At 39.1% G+C, this 12,785-nt stretch overlaps 1 protein-coding gene across 1 annotated transcript in view, besides 1 other annotated feature; it reads right to left on the bottom strand.

Moving 5' to 3' along the window:
- Window positions 1–12,785, bottom strand: part of VWA3B (von Willebrand factor A domain containing 3B) — a 243,450-nt gene that overhangs the window by 2,985 nt on the left and 227,680 nt on the right. The gene's annotated exons all lie outside the window — the stretch shown is intronic.
- Window positions 9,766–10,502: an enhancer, noted in NCBI's record as "NANOG hESC enhancer chr2:98933593-98934329 (GRCh37/hg19 assembly coordinates)". NCBI's record gives its function as "activates a minimal SCP1, AML or CMV promoter by ChIP-STARR-seq in naive H9 embryonic stem cells {active_cell/tissue: H9 hESC(naive)}" and the evidence as "EXISTENCE:reporter gene assay evidence [ECO:0000049][PMID:30033119]".

Raw genomic sequence — 12,785 nt, 5'->3', positions numbered from 1 at the left:
AAAGTTTGTATTGTGAATGGATCTTGAATTATGTCAAATACATTTTTCTCCACCTATTCAGAAGAGCTCTTCAACTGGAATTAACTGAATTACATAGAGTTTTGATTGTTAAAACAGTCTTTTATTTCTTGTATGAATTTAACTTGGTCATGACAGAGTTAGCTTCTGTTTTAGGCATTACTGGCTTTGATTTGCTTATATACTAATTTGCTTTCATTGTAATCTTTGTTGAGATTTGAGTTGAACTGGGCTCATAAAACGAGTTGAGAAATGTTACCTTCTCCCTTATTTTCTTTACTTTTTTTTCTTGTTTTTTATATCTTTTGTTTGTTTGTTTTAGAGACAGGGTCTTGCTCTGTTGCCCAGGCCGGAGTGCAGTGTCATCATCTTGGCTCACTGCAGCCTCAACCTCCCTGGCTCAAGTGATCCTCTCACCTCAGCCTCCCAAGTAGCTGGGACTACAGGCATGTGCCACCATGCCTGGCTAGTTTTGTATTTTTAGTAGAGACAGGTTTCGCCATGTTGCCCAGGCTGGTCTCAAACTCCTGGATTCAAGCAATCTGCCTGGCTCGGCTTCCCAAAGTGCTGGGATTACAGGCGTGAGTCTCTGCACCTGGCCTACTTTTTTTTTTTTTTCAAGTGACTCAAAACAACAGAAATTTATTCTCTTGCATTTCCAGAGGTCAGAATTCTTAAAATCATGGTGTTGGCAGCCTTCTTCTCAAAGCTTCAGGTTGAGAATCTGTTTATCTTTTCTGGCTTCTAGAGGCTGTCTGCATTGCTTGACTTCTGGCCCCTTCCCCTATTCCTCCCCCATTTTCTGAAAGAGTTTGTGTAAGATTGTTATTATTTCATATTTATTTATTTATTTTCTTGAGATAGGGTCTCACTCTGTTGCCCAGGCTGGAGTGCAGTGGCACAATCTTGGCTCACTGCAGCCTCGACCTTCTGGGCTCAAGTGATCCTCCCACTCCAGCCTCCTAACTGGGACCACAGGTGCATGCCACCACGCCTGGCTAATTATTTTATTTTTTGTAGAGATGGGGTCTTACTATGTTTCCCAGGCTGGTCTCGAAATCCTGAGTTCAAGCAATCCTCCTGCCTCAGCCTCCCAAAGTGCTGGCATTACAGGTGTAAGCTGCCATGCCCAGCCTATAATTTTGTCTTCAAATATTTGATAAAATTCACCAGCTAAACCATCTGGGCCTGGAGCTTCTTTTGTAAAAAGGGTTTTGATAGCAAATTTACTTTCTTTCATAGATATAAGGTAATTTATACTTTGTTTCATTTTATGTCAGTTTTGGTTGGTTATATTCTTCAAGGTTTATTTTATCTTCATTTTTGAATTTTCAGGAAATAGTTTGTCCATAATATTATTTTATTATGATTTGAATGTCTGTATGCACTCTAGTAGTGATAACCCCTTTGTATTTGTGTTTTCTCTTTTTTCTTGCTAATTAGAGGTTTATCTATGTTGTTTGTTTATTTCAAATAACTAATTTTTGTGGTTGTCATTTTACCTTGCGATTTCTTCTTTGTTGCATGGATTTTTAGAAATATATGTCTCATTTCCAAATATTTTGAGATTTTCATAAATATTTTATTGTTATTGGCTTTTCATTTAATTTCACTGTGGGCCAAGAACACACTTTATATGACTGCAATTCTTTTAAATTTATTGGAACTTGGTTTATGGCCAAGCACATGGACTGACTTGGTGAAAGCAACAAGCATACTTGAAAATAAATATATTATCTGGGATTTGGCATACAGGTCAAGATGGTTGAGATAATCTCTACTGGTTTTTGGTTTTGGTCTACTTGTTCTAGGAAGTGTTGAGAGAAAGAAGTTAAAATCTACAACTATATAAGAAGCAAAAGCCTTGCAACCATGTATGTCCATTCACCCCTCCACGTGTTCCTATTTGTGCCATAGTTGCCATGTCGCCATGTGTATTATAACTATATGTATATTAAGGAAATACACAGAAAAATATTTGAAAATATTCACCTGGGTAATTGTTATTTCAGATCCCGTTCATCTCAACCTTAAGATACGATTTTCTGTTTTCTATCAATTCCCATCAGCCTGAGGAATTTCCTTTAGCATTTCTTACAGTGCAATTCTTCTGATGATATATTCTTTTGGCTTACTTTTATCTGCAAAAGTCTTCATTTTGCTCTAATTTTTGAGGTTATTTTCACTTGATGTGGAATTTTGGGTTGAGAGGTTTTCTTTTCTTTCAGCACTTTAATGATATTGTCCCACTGCAGGGGCATCGCCTTTATAGGTGCTGATGAAAAGCCAGTGGTTTCTAATTATTATTCCCCTTTATGTGATGTGTCGTTTTTTATTCTGGCAGCTGTCAAGATTTTTTTCTCCTTGTTTGGTTTTCAACATTGTGACTATGACGGAATGATTTACTTCCTATTTACTCTGGGATTCACTGAACTTCTTGGATCTATAAATTTACATCTTTAGACAAATTTGAGAGATTTACAGCCATTATTTCTCCAAATATTTTTCCCCGTTATCTCTCTCTTCTCATCTTAAAACTCGGATTACAAAGTGTGTATTTCCCCACAGTTTCTGAAGTCCTATTTATTTAAATCTTGTATCTCTTTTTCAGATTTGACAATTTCTATTGATCAGTCTCAGAGCCACTGACTCCTCTGTCATTTCTATTCTGTTCTTAAGCCCATCCAGTGGATTTTTTTTTTTTAACATTAAGACATTGTATTTTTTAGTTCTGGAATTTTCATTTGTTTGTTTTTTAATAGTTTATTATAAGCATATTTTCTTTGACTTTAATGAACATAGTTATTATAGCTGCCATGAAGTCCTTGTCTGATAATCCAACAGCTGGATCATCTCAGGGTTAATTGGCTTATATTTTTTCTTTGGAAACTGGGAGATCACATTTTCATGGTTACATGGTGAATAACTTAGAATTTTAACCCATACTTTATAAATGTTAGGTTGTAGAGACTCTGAATTCTGTTACATTCCTCAGAAGACTTGTTATTTTTGTTTTAGCAGACAATTAACTTTCTTGAACTTATACTGAAAATGCTGCCTCTTGAGTGGCAGTTAAAATTTCAATTTAGCTCTCTTACCCTTAATTGATCTGTTTGCAATCTGTCTGTGCATATATGGTTAAGAAGTTAGAGGCTGGCTGTGGTGACTCACACCTCTAATCCCAGCACTCTGGGAAGCTGACATGGGTGGATCACTTGAGGTCAGGAGTTCAAGACTAGTCTGGCCAACACAGCGAAACCTCATCTCTACTAAAAATACAAAAATTAGCTGAGTGTGGTGGTGCATTCCTGTAGTCCCAGCTACTTGGGAAGCTGAGGCAGGAGAATGGTTTGAACTTGGGAGGCAGAGATTGCAGTGAGCTAAGATTGCACAACTGGACTCCAACCTACGTGACAGAGCAAGATTTAGTCTAAAAAAAAAAAAAGTGTCAGAGACGTGGGCCAAGTTTATGCACAAAATCTATGGCTCCTTGTCTTTGGATCTTTCCTTGCTGTTATTCTCTCTGTATACTCTAAGAGCTGTAGTTTTCCCAAACTCTGTTTTCTGGTTTTTCAAGCCAGAAAGACTGTAAGTCTTCATTCAGAGTTTAAGCCTCCACGTGTGGTACTTACCATGTCTTTTCTTAGCCTGCCCTTAAGCTAAAATATGTAATAACAGGATGCTCACCACATCAGAATCTGCTTACTTTGGTGGAGGGTCTTTCTTAAGAATTTATTTGAATATACTGGAAGTGGAACTCCTCTCACCTTCATTTTGAAGGCTAGTTTTACTGCATATACAATTCTTTGCTGATAGGTTCTTAAATTCTTTTCTTTTTGCACTATGCCATTCCAATATCCTCCAGTGCCTATAGCTTTTGTTGAGAAGTCATCTGTAATCATGTCAATCTTCCTCTGACTGTAATATGTGGTTCTTTTCTCTGGTTTCAATATTTCCTTGTTAGCAGTCTGACTATGATGTGTGTAGGAGTAATTTCTTTATGTTTATCATGTTTTGAGGTTCCTTAGGCTTCTCGAATCTATTAACATTTTCTACCACATTTTGGAAGTTTTCAGTTATTTTGTCTCCAGTGATTTTTTTTTTCTTTCTCTTTTTCTATCTCCTCCTCTTCTAGGTCTCCAATTATACATAATTTGAAATGCCTGAAATTATTCCATGGGTCTCTGAGGTTCTGTTAACTTTTTTCAATATTCTTTCCCTTTTTATTTGTTTTTTTGGATTGAGTAAATTTTATCAATCTATATTCAAATTCAATAATTCTTCTGCCTTTTCCATTTTGCTGCTCAGTCTATTTAGTGTACTTTATGTAGTAACTTTTAGCTCTCGAATTTTCCACTGGCATTTTAATACCTTCATTTCTGTATTGAGATTACCCATTTCTTCATTGATACTCTTTCTTTTATAGTAGCTACTTTGATGTCTGCTATACAACAACTGGAATAAATCAAAATTTTTATTGAATGTTTGTCTTTTATCATAAGAATAGAATACATTTTCCTGTTTCTTTGCATGCCTACTAAATTTTGGTTCAAAATTGGACTGCAGGCAATATATTCTAGTGATTCTGGATTCTGTTGTGTTCTTAAGGGTTTTTCTTGTGTGTGTGTGTGTGGTTGTTTTTCGTACACTTAATTTTTTATTTTCAATTCTAGTAGGCAGTCAACTTGCCTGGACTCAAACTGCAAACTTTTTTCTCTTGTAATATGAAGGAGTTCACATCTCTAGTCTGTTCTTATGGCTTCAAATTGCTGCTTTTATCCTGGCACCTTGGGTGTTTTCCCTATGCCTACATAATATAGTGGTCATCCAGGGATTTGGGCAGCTTTGAGGGCTCACTCTTTTAGTGGTTCCCTTGCTTAAATTTCCATCTGTTTTTCTAGACTTGGGTTCTGTCCCCTGGTACTTTAAGCCCATAAGACATTAGATTACTGCTGCCCAAGCTGCACATGGCTTGCAAATGCATTTCAGTTAAAAAGCAGCAAACACACAGACCTTTCCCTGTGCAGCTTTGTTTCTGAACAGTAGATTCCTCTCTAGTTTCTGCCTAATTTTTTCACAGAGTTCCCTGGGTTCTCTCTTGTACATGCCTAATTTAGGGGCTAGCTAGGAATCAGGGCAAAGTTCATACTTAGGTTTTATGATTCACTCTTACTGTAGTTTCTTGATGCTGAGCGTTTTTCTTTAAACTTCCACTTTTTTTCTAGCCCTGAACTCTTATTTCTGGCACCTTGAGCCAGTTAGGCTATAGTTTTTTGTTGCCTTGACCCTGAAAGTTGGGGAGTGCCCTCAGGCCAGAATGTCACAAACTCACAATTCTTTCCTTCTCCATTTGCAGTTTTAAAGAATAAACTCTCCAGCAGCTTCTCTCTGTTCTTGAGCATTTTATTGTGCCTTTAAATAGAGGTAACTTAAAAAAATTTATCCAGGTCTTATTAGTTTGTTCTCAGAAAGGAAAGAAGTGTAATGGACTCACAGTTCCACATGGCTGGGGAGGCCTCACAATCATGGCAGAAGGCAAGGGAGGAAAAAAGGCATGACTTACATGGAAGCAGGCAAGAGAGCATGTGCAGGGAACTCCCCTTTATGAAATCATCAGCTCTCATGAGACTTATCCCTATCACAAGAACAGCATGGGAAAGACCTGCCCCCATGATTCAATTACCTCCCACTGGGTCCCTCCCATGACATGTGGGAATTATGGGAGCTAAAATTCAAGATGAGATTTGGATGGGGACACAGCCAAACCATATCATTCCACCACTAGCCCCTCCCAAATCTCATGTCTTTACATATCAAAACCAATCATGCTTTCCCAACAGTACCCCAAAGTCTTAACTCATTTCAGCATTAACTCAGAAGTCCACAGTCCAAAGTCTCATCTGACACAAGGCAAGTCCATTCTGCCTGAGAGCCTGTATAATCAAAAGCAAGTTATTAATACAACCATTCCAAATGAGAGAAATTGGCCAAAATGAAGGAGTTAGGGCAGTCACATCTTAAAGCTCTGAAATGATGTCTTTTCACTCCACGTCTCACATCCAGGTCATGCTGATGCAAGAGATAAGCTTCCCCGGCCTTGGGCAGCTCTGCCACAAGGGGGACTTTTCAGAGTACAGCCCCATTTCTGGTTGCTTTTATGGCTGGTATTGAGTGTCAGTGGCTTTTCCAGGTGCATGGTGCAAGCTGTTGGTGGACCTACCATTCTGGGATCTGGAGAACAGTGGCCCTCTTCTCACAGCTCCACTAGGCAATGCCTCAGTAGGGACTCTGTGTGGGGGATCTGACCCCACATTTTCCTTCTGCACTGCCCTAGCAGAGGTTCTCCATGAGGGCCCCATCCCTGAAGCAAACTTCTGCCTGGGCATCCAGGCATTTCCAAACATCCTCCGAAATCTAGGCAGAGGTTCCAAAACTTCAGTTCTTGACTTCTTTGCACCCACAGGCCCAACACCACTTGTAAGCTGCAAAGGTTTGGTGCTTGCATCCTCTGAAGCAACAGCCTGAGCTGTACACTGACCTCATGGCTGAAGCTGAAACAGCTGGGATGCAGAGCACCCTGTTTGAAGGCTGCATAGAGCAGAGGTGTCCTGGGCCCAGTCCACAAAACCATTTTTTCCGTCCTACGCCTCTAGGCCTGTGATGGGAGGGGCTGCCATGAAGGTCTCTGACAGGGCCTGGAGACATTTTCCCCATTGTCTTGGTGATTAGCATTTGGCTCCTCATTACTTATGCATATTTCTGCAGTTGGCTGGAATTTCTCCCCAGAAAATGGCGTTTTCTCTCCTATTGCATCATTGGGCTGCAAATTTTCCGAACTTCTACGCTCTGTCACCTCTTGAGTGCTTTGCTGCTTAGAAATTTCTTCCACCAGATACCCTAAATCATCTCTCTCAATTTCAAAGTTCCACAGATCTCTAGAGCAGAGGCAAAATGCTGCCAGTCTCTTTGCATAGCAAAGGCAACCTTTACTACAGTTCCCAACAATTTCCTCATCTCCATCTGAGTCCACCACAGCCTGGACTTTATTGTCCATATCACTGTCAGCATTTTAGTCAAAGCCATTCAATGAGTCTCTAGGAAGTTCCAAACTTTCCAACATTTTCCTGTCTTTTTCTGAGTCCTCCAAACTGTTCCAACCTCTGCCTGTTATCCAGTTCCAAAGTTGCCTCCATATTTTCTGGTATCTTTACAGCAGCACCCCACTCCTGGCACCAATTTACTGTATTAGTCTGTTCTCATGCTGCTAATAAAGACATACCCGAGACTGGCTAATTTAGAAAGAAAAGCGATTTAATGGACTCACAGTTCCACATAGCTGGGGAAGCCTCACAATCACGGTGGAAGGTAAAGGAGGAGGAAAGCCATGACTTACTTGGTGGCAGGCAAGAGAGTGTGTGCAGGGGACTGCCCCTTCATGAAACCATCAGCTCTCATGAGACTTGTTACTATCACAAGAATAGCATGGGAAAGACCAGCCCCATGATTCAATTACCTCCCACTTGGCCCCTCCCATGACACATGGGAATTATGGGAGTTACAATTCAAGATGAGATTTGGGTGGGGACACAGCCAAACCATATCGAGATCTTAAAATTGTTACCTGTAAAAGTATTTGCATGATTACTTCATATTGGCACATTATTGACAGTTCTCTAAATGTAGTTTTTTTGTTTTGTTGTGTGAGTGTGTGTGTGTGTGTGTGTGTGTGTGTGTGTGATGGAGTCTCACTCTGTCACCCAGGTTGGAGTGCAGTGGCGTGATCTAGGCTCATTGCAACCTCTGCCTACCAGGTTCAAGCCATTCTCATGCCTCAGCCTCCCAAGTAGCTAGGATTACAGGCATGCACCACCATGCATGGCTAATTTTTATATTTTTAGTAGAGATGAGGTTTTGCCTTGCTGTCTAGATGGGTCTTGAACTCCTAGCCTCATTTTATCCACCCATCTCAGACTCCCAAAGTGTTGGGATTATAAATGTGAGTCACTGTGTCTGGCCTAAGTCTAGTTTTAATTTGTTTTTCTCTTATCATGAGTGAAGTTAAACATCTTTTCATATTTTTAGATCCATTCTTACAGCTTTATAGATAGTTCATTGTCTTTTGCCTATTTTTCTGCCAGGTCTTTGGTCAGTTTTTTCATTGAATTTTAAAGAGTTCTTTGTATTTTACAGACTCCAGCCCTTTGTCTGCTATTTAGTGCAAATACTTTCTCTCCATTTGTCATTTGTCTTTTGACTTTCTTTATGTTGTCTTTGGAAATATATTTTTAAAAATGCATTTTTATCTAGTCAAGGTTAGCAACATTTTATTGCACCTGGAATTTGAGTTAGAATTCACTCATGTTTTCTTCTAGTACCTGTCTGCTTTTTTTTTTTCTTTTATCCATTTGGAGTTTATTCTTGTATGTGGTGTGAGGCATGGATCTAATTTTATTGTTTTCCAATGGCTATCCATTGTCCTAGTACCTGTTATTAAAGTTTCAGTGATTTGAGATGCCACCTTTATAATATACAACATTTCCAAATATAGCCAGTCCTCTGTATCCTCAGGTTCTTCATCTGTGGATTCAACCAACTGTGGATTGCAAATTACACTATTCGTGGGATGTGGAACCCATAAATATGGAGGGCTGACTTTTCATATCCATGGGTTCCACAGGGCCAACTGCAGGGCTTGAGCATTCTCAGATTTTGGTATCCAAGGGGTTGCTGGAACCAATCTCTTAAGTACTGAGGGACAATTGCAGATATATAGATAGGTAGATAGACTGACAGATAGATGATAGATAAATAATATATATTATGTCTTTTTTGGACACCTAGTCCATTTGCCTTTCCTTGTGATAGTACCACACTATTATTTTTTTAACTTTTAAGTTCAGGGGTACATGTGCAGGTTTGTTACATAGGTAAATGTGTTTCATGGGGATTGGTTATACAGATTATTTCATCACCCAGGTATTAAGTTTAGTATCCATTAGTTATTTTTTCTGTTTCTCTCCCTCCTCTCACTCTTCAACCCTCTGATACGCCACAGTGTGTTTTGTTCCCTCCACCATGTGTCCATGTGTTCTCATCATTTAGTTCCCACTTATAAGTGAGAACATGCAGTATTTGGTTTTCTGTTCCTGTGTTAGTTTGCTGAGGACAATGGCCTCCAGTTTCATCTATGTCCCTGTAAAGGACATTATCTCATTCTTTTTTATGGCTGCATAGTATTCCATGGTGTATATGTACCATATTTTCTTTATCCAGTCTATCATTGATGGGCATTTGGGTTAATTCCATGTCTTTGCTATTGTGAATAGTACTGAAATAAACATACACATACATGTGTATTTATAATAAAAAATTTATATTTCTTTGGGTATAAAGCGAGTAATGGGATTGCTGGGTCAAATTGTATTTCTGTCTTTAGGTCTTTGAGGAATTGCCACACAGTCTTCCACAATGGTTGAACTAATTTACACTCCCACCAACTGTGTAAAAGCATTCCTTTTTCTCCACAACCTCACCAGCATCTGTTATTTTCTTTACTTTTAATAATAGCCATTCTGACTGGTGTGAGATGATATCTCATTGGTGCCACACTATTTTAACCATACAGATATCATAGTGTTTAATATGCTAACATAAGTTCCTCCCCATAGCTTTATTTTTCAGAATTTTCTTAGCTACTCACATTTCTTTTTCCATATGAACTTTGTTGACAAAAAGAGTTAAACTCTGTAAAATATTTGTAGAGATTTATTCTGAGCCAAATATGAGTGACCATGGCCCGTGACACAGCCCTCAGGAGATCCTGAGGACATGTGCCTAAGGTGGTCAGGGTTCAGCTTGATTTTATACATTTTAGGGAGACATGAGACATCAATTAAATACCTTTAAGATATAGAATGGTTCGTTCCAGAAAGGCAGGACAATTCAAAGTGGGGGCTACCAGGTTATAGGTAGATTTGAAATTTTTCTGATTGGCAATTGGTTGAAAGACTTATTATCAAGGGAAGGGAATGTCTGGGTTACCATAAGAGGTTGTTGAGACCAAAGTTTTATCATGCTGATGAAGCCTCCAGGTAGCAGGCTTCAGAGAGAATAGATTGTAAATGTTTCTTATCAGGCTTAAGGTCTGTGTTGATGTTAATGCTGGAGGGTATAATGAGGCACCTCCGACCCCCACTTCCCCTCAGGGCCTGAACCAGTCTTTCACGTTAAACTTTAGAGTGCTCTGGCCTAGGAGGAAGGCCACTCAGATGGCTGGGGGGGGTTTAGAATTTTATTTTTGGTTTACCACTTTACTATAAACTTTTCAAGCCTCATAAAACGTTTGCTGTTGTTTTTACTTGGATTGTGTTATAGTAATACATGAACTCAGGGGGAACTATCATCTTCATGATGTTCAGTCATCCTATCTAAAACAAAGGATGTTCCAGTCTACTTTTGTATCTTTCAAGAGTGTTTCAAAGCTTTTCATGCATTGGTTTTGCACATTTCTTGTTAAGTTTATTCTAGGTACAGTCCATGCTCACTATTTACAGGTTCCATATTTGTGAATTCACCTACCTGCTTATATTAGTCCATTCTCACATTGTGATAAAGAAATACTAGAGACTGGGTAATTTATAAAGAAAAGAGGTTTAATTGGCTCATGGTTCCGCAGGATGTACAGGAAGCATGGCAGCATCTGCTTCTGGGGAGGCCTCAGGAAGCTTCCAATTATGGTGGAAGGTGAAGAAGGAGCCAGTACTTACAAGGCCAGAGCAGAAGGAAGAGAGGGGAGGGGAGGTGCTACATATTTTAAACAACCGATCTCCTAAGAACTCAGTCACTATACAGTACCCAGGAGGGATGGTACTAAAGCATTAATGAGAACTCCACCCCCATGATCTAATCACCCTCCCACCAGGCCCTCCTCAAACATTGGGGATTACACTTTTTTTTTTTTTTTTTTTGAGACAGAGTTTCACTTTGTTGCCCACGCTGGGGTACAGTGGCATGATCTTGGCTCACTGCAACCTCTGCCTCACGGGTTCAAGCCATTCTCCCACTTCAGCCCCACCCCAAGTAGCTGAGACTACAGGCGTGTGTCACCACACCCAGCAATTTTTTTGTATTTTTGGCAGAGACAGGGTTTTGCCATGTTGCCCAGGCTGGTCTTGAACTTCTGAGCTCAAATGATCCACCAGTTTTGGCCTCCCAAAGTGCTGGAATTACAGGCATGAGCCACCGCGCCCAGCCAGAAATTATAATTTGACATGTGATTTTGGGGTGGAAACCATATCACTGCTAAAACTTATTTGTAACCTCAAAATCAATGCTCAAGGCATGTTTGCAGACAGGTGCATGCTCAAAGAAGTGAAAAAATCTGCCTACTGCCTTCTTGTTTTAGCTCTCCTACTGTAAACATGCTTATAGGGTTGGGCATGAGTATGTTAATGAGTCAGCAATATATATTAAGATACCTTTGAACAGAAACACACAAAAACAAAGTTACATATTGATTAGTTGATGAAAATATGGTGACCAGCGGCCTGCAGGAACCTAATCTTGTGTGTCTCCTAGGAAAAATGATTCAGTATTCAGTGTTAGATGCCACTGTATAGAACGTAACTACATGAATAGTGAGAATCAACTGCATTTTAGTTTCTTTGTTGTCATTGTAAATGAGGTTTTTCACTATCAACATATCTTCTAATCGATCATGATTTGTGTATATCGATTTCTGTGTATTAAATTTATATCCTTCGTCTCACTGAATTCTTTTGTTTGGATTAGTGTTATTGATTCAGAATTTTCAGGTGTTGTCTTTTATCATGTGCAAACATCATTTTCCTTCTTTTCCAATTATTATTCCTCTAATTGATTTCTCTTGTCTAGTTTTGTTGGCTACAACCCATCCACCTTTTATAAGGACAGTTTTTCATCTATGTGGAAATGCTCTGAGTTGGCAATAGACTGTGTCATTGAGCTGTAGACTCCTAGAGTTGGAAAGGAGCTTAGAAGTATGTAGATGACTCTCACTTGAAGTATGGAATCTTTTTTACATCACTTAATTGGTGATCCAGTCTCTTTTTGAATATCTGTTCCCTTTCTTCTGAAGAACATCCTTCTGTTTCAAGGATTCACCTTGTACCCATTCCACATAGTTTACATCTGGTTTTCAATCACTCCATCCCTATAGCAATCACCCACTGCCCCTGGCTTGTGATCCTGGCCTATTATATAGGGTGGCCATAAAATCTAGATACATAGGTATTATTATTATCATCACTATTATTATTGTGTGTGTCTGTGAGTGTGTTTAACAGATTGAACCCCTTTTATTACTTCTGGTATATGCTAAAAGTACAGATTTATTCAGCAAAAAAATCAAATGTGCAAATCATCTGAGGCAATGAATGCATCCAGGTGCATGTTCAAGGATTTATGAAAATGCATTAATGTACTATCGACATTACTCTATAAAGCCAATTATCTTTAAAGGAGATTTAAATGGTAAGAAAAGAAAGTCTTTCATATATATACCATCAGTTGCCATTTCTGGTACTTTTCATTGTCTGTGTCATTCCGGAGCTGATTCCAATTGGCTTCTCTTTTTTTTCTTTTTTTTTTTTTGAGATGGACTCTTGCTCCGGAGTAACCTCCTGGGTTCAAGCGATTCTTTTGCCTCAGCCTCTCCTCCCAAGTAACTGGGATTACAGGTGCAAGCCACCACACCCAGCTAATTTTTGTATTTTTAGTAGAGACAGGGT

The sequence above is a fragment of the Homo sapiens genome, chromosome 2, assembly GCF_000001405.40.
Source record: "Homo sapiens chromosome 2, GRCh38.p14 Primary Assembly".
Lineage (NCBI taxonomy): Eukaryota > Metazoa > Chordata > Mammalia > Primates > Hominidae > Homo > Homo sapiens.
This window is presented reverse-complemented; position numbering and strand designations above follow the sequence as displayed.